This window comes from Homo sapiens, chromosome 14 (genome assembly GCF_000001405.40).
Source record: "Homo sapiens chromosome 14, GRCh38.p14 Primary Assembly".
NCBI classification, from domain to species: domain Eukaryota; kingdom Metazoa; phylum Chordata; class Mammalia; order Primates; family Hominidae; genus Homo; species Homo sapiens.
In genome coordinates, this window is record NC_000014.9 from 39,099,216 (window position 1) to 39,109,337 (window position 10,122).

Here is a 10,122-nt window from a genome sequence, read left to right on the forward strand (position 1 = left end):
TGGGGCAATCTCAGCTCACTGCAACCTCTGCCTCCCGGGTTCAAGCGATTCCCCTGCCTCAGCCTCCCAAGTAGCTGGGACTACATGCGCGTGCCACCATACCCAGCTAATTTTTTGTATTTTTAGTAGAGACAGGGTTTCACCATGTTGGCCAGGATGATCTCAATTGTCTGACCTCGTGATCCGCCGGCCTCGGCCTCCCAAAGTGCTGGGATTACATGCTTGAGGCACCGCTCCCCGCCATTAAATTGTTTTAAAACTTGTGCCTGCTACCATAAGCTTGACAAGTTCCTAATATGTAAAGATTTTTCTGATGAGATCAGTGTTGGTATTAATGTAATTTGTTTGATAGTATATAACAAAATGTATTAACATTTAGAAGATATACATTACTCAGTGAAGCAATATCTTCCAAACCGTCAATTTGTGATATGAAAATATCACACATGGGTAGATGATCCATTCAAAGTGTAGAATAGGCCAATGAGTTTTAAGGTAACAAAGTACAAAAAGGTCACTCCTAAGCTTTCAGATTCCACACTGCAATTAACCTTTTAATTTATTAATTAATCCTTCATACAATTCAACCAAAACAATATATCACAATAAACTGCAGAAACAGATATGAAAACCCACCTGTCTTCTATTTAGCCTTTTTTTTTTCTCTTTGGATACTCAATAATGTTTAAGTTAGGGGTTCTGAAAACCACTGCCTTAGGACCATTAGGAAACCTCACTAAGAAAGGTTCCAGGAGTCTTAGCAGGAAGACATTCACACACAGACAATAGCCAGGTTTAACTTTCTACAACTGGTTAAAAGGCTGGATTGTATCTCTACATTCTTACTTCTTATTAAGACATACTAAATATCACCTGAGTGATATCTGGGCACAACTCTCTTCTCTTCTTCACATTTTTTCCTCTCAATCTCCCTGCTCTAAGATCAATTTGCTTGCTAAATCACATCTATTATACTTCTTACATTCCCACATTCCAGCAGTAGTTTGAAGAAAATCCCACCTGTTTCTCAATTGGTCCAATTACATGGCTATGCACAACACTTCCCTGACTTCCCTCACCTTTCCATAGTAGGAGTCATGCAATCTTAAAATCACGAATTCAATTACAAAATTTGCCAGGCTTAGTCCCATGTCCGACAATGGCATATCTGAAATAAAGTCCTTTTACAAGCCAACTTAACTTTTTTTTTTTTTTTGAGACGGAGTTTCGCTCGTTGCCCAGGCTGGAGTGCAATGGCGTGATCTCGGCTCACCGCAAACTCCTCCTCCCGGATTCAAGCAATTCTCCCGCCTCAGCCTCCTGAGTAGCTGGGATTACGGGCATAAGCCACCACACCTGGCTAATTTTTGTATTTTTAGTAGAGATGGGGTTTCTCCATGTTGGTCAGGCTGGTCTCGAACTCCCAACCTCAGGTGATCCACCCACCTCAGCCTCCCAAAGTGCTGGGATTACAGGTGTGAGCCACCATGCCCAGCCACAAACTAGCTTTTCATAACATGATATTATTTGATAAGCACTCTCTCCCCTAATACTAACATGTTTGCATAAAAGTATTAAACCAAAGAAATATTATTCCACACACTATATTAGAATGCAGACTTAGCATATTAGTCTCTTTTTTTTTTGAGATGGAGTCTCACTCTATCACCCAGGTTGGAGTGCAGTGGTGCAATCTCGGCTCACTGCAACCTCCACCTCCCGGGTTCAGGCGATTCTCCCGCCTCAGCCTCCCCAGTAGCTGGGATTACAGGCGTGAGCTACTACACCCAGCTAATTTTTGTATTTTTAGTAGAGATGGGGTTTCACCACGTTGGCCAGGCTGGTCTCGAACTCCTGACCTCAGGTGATTGGCCTGCCTCGGCCTCCCAAAGTGCTGGGATTACAGGCGTAAACTGCCGCACCCAGCCACTAGTCTTTATTTTTTTTAAAAAGTGATACAAAACACAAAAGACTATTACAAAGAAATGTCCAATTTCAGTACAATATACTTTGGTTAAATAATTTATCATAATAGAGCTAAAAGCTAAGAAGCAAACCACTATGTCACTTTAACCTAGTATATCAAATATGTGCCCAAGTCTTTTAAAAGTAAGACTTCCCTGGCCGGGCGCGGTGGCTCACACCTGTAATCCCAGCACTTTTGGAGGCCGAGGAGGGTGGATCATGAGGTCAGGAGATCGAGACCAGCCTGGCCAATATGGTTAAACCCCGTCTCTACTGAAAATACAAAAATTAGCCAGGCATGGTGGCGGTCGCCTGTAGTCCCAGCTACTCAGGCGGCTGAGACAGGAGAATAGCTTAGCTTGTACCTGGGAGGCGGAGGTTGCAGTGAGCCGAAATCGTTCCACTGCACTCCAGCCTGGGTGACAGAGCGAGACTCCGTCTCAAAAAAAAAAAAAACAAAAAAGACTTTCCCTATGATAGTTTTTCAATATTCTAATTTTAAGCCCTTTTATTCATATCTAATTGAAAATGTACTTGCCAAGTAAATTTGAGTTCCTTCCAATTACATGTATTTGTTAGTTGCCAATTAAATTTGTCTCCTACTTTTCACTTCCAAAATCCTCAATGAATTGTCTTCTTATGATCTTGGACAATTAACCTCTCTGAATCCTGTTTTTCTCATCAGCAAAATAAGAGACTTGGACTAGAAAATCACAAGGTCCCATCTAACTCTAAAATTCTGTAAGTCAATTAAAAATAGCTGGACTCTGGCCGGGCGCAGTGGCTCATGCCTGTGATCCCAGCACTTTGGGAGGCCGAGGCGGGCGGATCACCTGAGGTCAGGAGTTCGAGACCAGCCTGGCCAACATGGTGAAACCCCGTCTCTACTAAAGATACAAAAATTAGCCGGGCATAGTAGCTCGCCCCTGTAATCCCAGCTACTCGGGAGGCTGAAGCAGGAGAATCGCTTGAACCAGGGAGGCGGAGGTTGCAGTGAGCCGAGATTGCGCCACTGCACTCCAGCCTGGGCGACAAAGCAAGACTCCGTCTCAGAAAAAAAAAAAATAGCTGGACTTCTGAAATGATGTTCATTCACTACCAGAGGAGAAAGAGAAGGAAAACTCAACATGCATTTATATTTAAATCTAAAACCTTTTTAAACCAAGTTAATTTGGCTAGTTATCCATGGCTTTGGACGGTAGAGGTTGAGGGAGTTCAAGTGAAAACGAGAATTCCACATCCCCACTTCAGTGATTGATGTAGATTTACTATGACCTTCCTCAGGCAGTACCTTTACCACCAAATCGGGAAACACTACCTACCGTAGAAAGAAAGCCCAGTGAGATAGGGCTGGTCCTGCTGGAAAACTGAACTCTTTGTAATCAAAACCCAAGGCATTATCTTTACCAAGCTCTTTTCCCCTTTAACCCCTTTAACTTCCAAGGCTGAATTACGGTGACGTAGTCAATTGGGTTCAAAGTCTAGGACACTCCATATCTGGCAAGGAATGAAACAGTAAGTCCAAGGGCCCAGAGGCGATGATGGACTTGGGTGGAGGTGGGTGGCCCAGGAGGTGGGGGTGGGTGCTGGGCGAGATGCTCGAACCACCGTTTTCCACATCTTTCCACCTAATCCAGGGGAGCTGGAGGAGGCCGGGCCCCCGGCCCCGGCAGAGCGAAGTGGGTGAGAGGGTGGCAAGCTCAGCACTCAACGCTCCCCGCGCCGGACCGGGCCTCAGCCTCCAGCACACCTCGCTGGCCCCGGGGCACCGAGAGGGCAGAGCCGGGACCACCCCAGGATCCCAGCCCCCAGCCCGCCGCCGCCAGCCCGCCCCCGCTCCCCGCTGCGCACCTGCGGTCCCCCAGGAGCGGAGACGAGGCGGCCCTTTCCTCACTGTCCCCCTGCAGGACCCGTCGCAGCCTCCGCTTTGCAAAATCTGTCCTCTCCGCCCAGCAGGAGCAGTCCGTGGCACCGCAATCAGGGGTGGCGCCACCCCGCCCCGGGCCTCAGCGAAGACCTCCGCCCGGCCAACATGGCTGGCGCCGCCTCTGCCACGTCAAGAGGAGGGGACGGGGCGTGAGGGCAGGAAGGGGGCAGGAAGGGGCGGGCGCAGAGTTACCAGGGCAGGCCACCGGACCCCTGAGCTTGCTTAATAACCGGAGGATTTGAGAAAGGCGCGCGGCGGGCGAAGGTACCGAGAGGGGAGGAGGGAGGAGAGGTAGCGGGGACCGAGCCAGAGGGGCGGAAGAACCCGGAAGACCCAGGCAGCCGGACGGCCGAGGGGCGTGGGACCGGGCAGAGCGGGACCGGGAGAGAGCGCCTTTCCCAGCTCCCTAAAGCCACAGCGTATCCCACTCCCTGCAGGTCGCAGAAAGAGTGGAGAACTGGTGCCACTCGGACACCTTAGCTCACCGAGAGAAATGGAGACGGCCTCCAGGACATCTTAGGACCCTGGTTGATTCCGAGAATCACAAATCACATCTCTGAAAAAAGTGAAAAGTTCATTCTTTCACTTAGTGCAACAAATGTTTACTGAAACTTACTATGTGCCAGACACAATTGAGATGCTGGTAATATGATGCAGGCAAAGTAGGCCCAGATCCCTGGCCCGAAAGAATTCACGTACTATTTATGTATTTTAGTCAGCCTGTCTTTTCCTCCTACATTGCCTCTGCCACTTCAACTCTGTCTCCCCCCACCCCCAAAACACACACACAGTACAATATTTGGCTGATTCATCTTGATATGTTCAATGTTTTTCTTTCCAAGAAAAAAGTTGAACAAAATGAGAAAGCAACAGATTGGTAAGACATTAGAGCTTGGTGGTCTCAGACAACCCCTTCCTTCAGTGAGGGGAATGAAATTAAGTGCCCATGGAATTAATTGCATATATGACAACGCCTAAAAGCCTGCAAAGTTTAGCCATATCAACATTTTATGGAATGGAAAAAAAGATCAAGTCCCTGTCCTTGAAAGCTCATATTCATGAGAAATAAGACAGCAGCACCAGGCTGGGCGCGGTGGCTCACGCCTGTAATCCCAACACTTTGGGAGGCGGAGGCAGGCGGATCACAAGGTAAGGAGTTCGAGACCAGCCTGGCCAACATAGTGAAACACCGTCTCTACTAAAAATACAAAAATTAGCCGGGTGTGGTGGCACGCTCCTGTAGTCCCAGCTACTCGGGAGGATGAGGCAGAAGAATTGCTTGAACCCGGGAGGCGGAGGTTGCAGTGAGCCGAGACCACGCCATTGCACTCCAGCCTGGGTGACAGAGTGAGACTGTCTCAAAAAAAAAAGCACCAAACATATTTCCCTTTCTATAATGTGTGTACTAAAGTTGTTTTGGAAGGTGGAAGAGGATGTTTGCTTGTCAAATTGTAATACAATCCTGAAGAGGGCAATGGGAATCGAAAGCCAAAAATTAGTGTAGGCTTCCAAATAAAGTAGGTTCAAGGTGCTACCTTAATGAAGATTCTTAACAGCACACAGCAGAGGTGTTGTTATAAAGGTGGAATAAGTACACCCACCAAAAGCGACAAGATCTAAGAATGAGTAGGATAAAAAGATCTTAGTCCATTTAGGCTGCTAACACAAATGCCCTCAACTGGGTAGCTCATAAACAACAGAAATTTATTTCTGACTGTCCTGGAGGCTGAGAAGTCCAGGATCAAGATGCCAGCAGATTTGGTGTCCGGTGAGGACCTGCTTTCTGATTCATAGATGGTGCCTTCTTTGTTCTCACATGGCAGAAGGGGCTGGCTAGCTCTCTGGGGTCTCTTTTACAAGGGTACTAATCCCATTCATGAGAGGCCAGCCCTCATGACCTGTTCACCTCCCAAAGGCCCTACCTCCCTATACCATCACCTTAGCAGTTAAGATTTCAACCTATGAGTTTGGTAGGACACAAATATTCAGACCATAGCAACATTGATGAGAAGATCCACAGAAATCCTGGAATCCAGCGAGGAATAAATCAAAGCATAGTACCTTTGGTAGATTCATTCATTTCATGGTTCCCAGAAAGGCATCTTTACCATCCAGCTCAATGAAGTCTTTTCAAAAACTCATCATTCCTGGCCAGGCACAGTGGCTCACGCCGGTAATCCCAGCACTTTGGGAGGCCGAGGTGGGCAGATCACGAGGTCAGGAGATCAAGACCATCCTGGCTAACATGGTGAAACCCTGTCTCTACTAAAAATACAAAAAATTAGCCAGACATAGTTGCGGGCGCCTGTAGAGCCAGCTACTCGGGAGGCTGAGGCAGGAGAAATGCGTGAACCCAGGAGGTGGAGCCTGCAGTGAGCAGAGATCGCCCCACTGCACTCCAGCCTGGGCGACAGACCGAGATTCCATCTCAAAAAAAAAACAAAAAAAAATTCATCATTCCTTTGTTTTCAGTTGATCAAAGGTTTTAATTCCCTATTACAATGAAATAGATGTTAGGATGCATAACAAACTCAGTTGCATCTGTCTTTATGTGCTTTAAGATGAATGACTTTAAGTCCAGGCGCAGCGGTTCACACCTGTAATCCCAGCACTTTGGGAGGCTGAGGCAGGTGGATCACAAGGTTAGGAGTTCAAGACCAGCCTGGCCAAGATGTTGACACCCCATTTCTACTAAAAATACAAAAATTAGCCAGGCGCAGTGGCAGGCGCCTGTAATCCCAGCTACTCAGGAGGCTGAGGCAGGAGAATCACTTGAATCCAGGAGGCAAAGGTTGCAGTGAGCCGAGATCACGCCACTGCACTCCAGCCTGGGCAACCGAGCGAGACTCCGTTTCAAAAAAAAAAAAAATGATGAATGGCTTTAATCCTTGGATATACTATCAGGATCAGGATCTACTGGACCCAACTTTAGCCTTTCAGGGTTGTTTTTTTGTTTTTGGGCTCTACTCTTAAGGATTGATATTTCATGATTTTTTGTTCCTTCGTAGAAGTCTTCCAAACAACAAAGAGAAAATTTATTTTCTAAAAAAATAGATGTGGTGACTCACACCTGTAATCCTAGCAGTTTGGGAAGCTGAAGGGGGAGGATCCCTTGAGCCCAGGAGTTCAAGACCACCCTGGAAAATATGGTGAAACCCCATCTGTACCAAAAATATAGAAAAATTAGCAGAGCGTGGTAGTGTGTGACTTTAATCCCAGCTACTCAGGAGGCTGAGGTGGGAGAGTAACCTCAACCCAGGGAGGTCAAGGCAGCAGTGAGCCGTGATGGTGCCATTACATGACTGTGCCACTGCCTGGGCGATAGAGTGAGATTCTGTCTCAAAAATAAAATACATAAAATTAAAAAATAGAATAAAACTCATTCTATTTACAATTCCCATATAGATCCATTGGACCCTTATACATCTAGGACACATAGTGGGATTTACTAATTTTTTTTTTTGTATGTTGAAACGTTCTGCTACTTCATCATCCATAGAATTATTTCATCCTTACTGATCAATTATTCCAAGCTATGCTTTAAAAAAGATGAAAGTCAGGCTGGCGCAGTGGCTCACGCCTATAATTCCAGGGATGTCACCGTGTTGGCCAGGCTAGTCTTGAATTCCTGGCCTCAAGTGATCCGACCACCTCAGCCTCCCAAAGTGCTGGGATTACAAGCGTGAGCCACCGCACCTGGCCCTTTTTTTCTTTTTTTTTTTTTAGACGGAGTCTTGCTCTGTCCCCCAGGCTGGAGTGCAGTGGCACGATCTCGGCTCGCTGCAAGCTCCGCCTCCCGGGTTCACGCCATTCTCCTGCCTCAGCCTCCCGAGTAGCTGGGACTACAGGCGCCCGCCACCACGCTTGGCTAATTTTTTTGTATTTTTAGTACAGGCGGGGTTTCACCGAGTTAGCCAGGATGGTCTCCATCTCCTGACCTCGTGATCCGCCCTCCTCGGCCTCCCAAAGTGCTGGGATTGCAGGCGTGGGCTTTTTTTGCTTTTTTAAATAGGGATGGGGTCTTGCTATGCTGCCTAGGTTGGAATTGAACTCCTGGACTCAAGGGATCCTCCCACCTTGGCCTTTCAAAGTGTTGGGATTATAGGTATGAACTACCACACCTATAATTTTTTCCAGTATGCTGGTTACGAGGTTTCAACCTGAGGAAGAGTAGAAAGGGAATGGAATTTTTTTTAACTCCTGTGAAAGGAAGGTCAGAACATCTAAGAGATTGTAAAAAATATAAAATCTCATATAAGCTCCCTTCAAAAGAAAGTCTTTTAAAAGCAAATACTCCTAAGTTCACTATTTCCTCAAACTGGCATTTCTTAAAATGCCAGAGACTAAAAAGAGAGGGAAAGATTATGTGGTCGAATAAAGACATGTATAGCCAAGAACATTTCTTAAAGATATTTGACCTTGCAACTTTTTTCCCAGGGATTATCTTGAGTCAAGTATTCTAAACACCCTATGAAAGACTTTGCCTTCCACCATTAAATATTAGTTAATACGTAACAGCCAGTAATCTTCCTACTTCAGAACCCACAGGTATTTCTAAACTGAGGTTCCAGTACTACAGTCAGTGAAGTATAATGTCAATTTCTTGGAACTGTAGATGTTAACCACCAGATGGAGCTTTCACCTCTACTTTTCCTTTTTAGGTTTACTCTGTTTTCTAGTATTGATGAAGCACTTGTAGTTTTTTCTAACATGGATTCTCTTCCATTTGTTCAGATAGTGACAGGTTAAGGCACTGGCCAACTATTTTTGGAGTAGTCACTTGAAAAAGCAATATTCAGATTCTTATAATTTTGAATTTTCAGCACCAGTAGTGTGTTAAAGTTATATTCACGGAATAACATCTGTCTGATCCTCTATTCTGCACTCATAATGACTACAATTGTATTAAATATAATAAGGCTAATTAATAAGTCACATGGAAATTACAGAATAGTAAACTCAAGCCTTTGTGATCATTTAGTCTAATCCCCATACATGACAAATGAATGTGAGGACAAGAGAAGTGGCACACTTAACAACACCCTAGGCCAGGGTGCTGATGCTCATTTAAAACCTACAACACTGGCTTTGCAGACACCACTGCCGGAGCCCTGTACTATCAACCATGGTGAACCCCACCGTGTTCTTCAACATCGTGGTTGACGGCGAGCCCTTGGGCCGTGTCTCCTTCAAGCAGTTTGCAGAAAAGTTTCCAAAGACAGCAGAAAACTCATGCTCTGACCACTGGAGAGAAAGGATTGGATTATAAGTGTTCCCTTCTTTCACAGAATTATTCCAGGGTTTATGTGTCAGGGTGGTGACTTCACATGCCATAATGGCACTGGTGGCAAGTCCATCTACGGGGAGAAATTTAATAATGAGAACTTCATCCTAAAGCATACAGGTCCTGGCATCTTGTCCATGGCAAATGCTGGACCCATCACAAACAGTTCCCAGTTTTTCATCTGCACTGCCAAGACTGAGTGGTTGGATGGCAGGCCATGTGGTCTTTGGCAAGTTGAAAGAAGGCATGAATATTGTGGAGGCCATGGAGTGCTTTGGGTCCAGTGGCAAGACCAAGACCACCATTGCTGACTGTGGATAACTCTAATAAGTTTGACTTGTGTTTTTATCTTAACCACCAGACCATTCTGTCTGTAGCTCAATAGAGCACGCCTTCACCCCATTTTTTCGCAGTATCCTATAATCTTTGTGCTCTCACTGCAGTTTCCTTTGGGTTCCATGTTTTCCTTGTTTCCGTCCATGCCTAGCTGGATTGCAGAGTTAAGTTTATAATTATGAAATAAAAACTAAATAACAAATAAAACCTACAACACTGAGTTTTCATTTCATGCCTGTCTTTTCCTCTTTAAATGCTGACAAGACTAGATTTTCTAACTCTTGTTCAAATAGCAATTGTTTATTTTATATTTTATATATATTTTTGAGACAGGGTCTCACTGTGTCACCTAGCCTGGAGTACAGTGGCAGGATCACAGCTTATTGCAGCCTCGACCTCCTGGGCTCAGGTGATCTTTCCACCTAAGCCTCCTGGGCAGCTGGGACTTACAGGTGTGTGCCAGGATGCCCAGCTAATTTTTGTATTTTTTGTATAGATGGGGTTTAACCAGGCTGGTCTCAAATTCCTGGGCTCAAGTGATCCTCCTACCTCGATCTCCCAAAGTGCTGGGATTACAGCCATGACCCACCACGCTCGGCCCAAATAGCAA

General features: G+C 45.8%; 1 protein-coding gene, 1 long non-coding RNA gene and 1 pseudogene across 5 annotated transcripts in view, besides 3 other annotated features; 2 read left to right on the top strand and 1 right to left on the bottom strand.

The window, feature by feature from the left end:
* The window catches only part of SEC23A (SEC23 homolog A, COPII component), a 71,317-nt gene extending 67,297 nt beyond the window's left edge, over positions 1 to 4,020 (bottom strand). For all 4 annotated transcript variants that reach the window (NM_006364.4, XM_005267262.2, XM_011536355.4 and 1 more), the window contains exon 1: positions 3,817 to 4,020. The gene's annotated coding sequence lies outside the window, so the exon portion shown is untranslated. The remainder of the gene's footprint in view (positions 1 to 3,816) is intronic.
* Positions 3,626 to 3,705: a silencer, noted in NCBI's record as "silent region_5684". NCBI's record gives its function as "represses an Ori minimal core promoter by ATAC-STARR-seq in GM12878 lymphoblastoid cells {active_cell/tissue: GM12878}" and the evidence as "EXISTENCE:reporter gene assay evidence [ECO:0000049][PMID:35858748]".
* Positions 3,726 to 3,845: a silencer, noted in NCBI's record as "silent region_5685". NCBI's record gives its function as "represses an Ori minimal core promoter by ATAC-STARR-seq in GM12878 lymphoblastoid cells {active_cell/tissue: GM12878}" and the evidence as "EXISTENCE:reporter gene assay evidence [ECO:0000049][PMID:35858748]".
* SEC23A-AS1 (SEC23A antisense RNA 1) lies at positions 3,925 to 4,597 on the top strand. Its single transcript, NR_146545.1, has 2 exons — positions 3,925 to 4,156; positions 4,330 to 4,597. It is a non-coding gene; the product is annotated as an SEC23A antisense RNA 1 (long non-coding RNA).
* Positions 4,006 to 4,235: a silencer, noted in NCBI's record as "silent region_5686". NCBI's record gives its function as "represses an Ori minimal core promoter by ATAC-STARR-seq in GM12878 lymphoblastoid cells {active_cell/tissue: GM12878}" and the evidence as "EXISTENCE:reporter gene assay evidence [ECO:0000049][PMID:35858748]".
* PPIAP4 (peptidylprolyl isomerase A pseudogene 4) lies at positions 8,980 to 9,713 on the top strand (annotated as a pseudogene).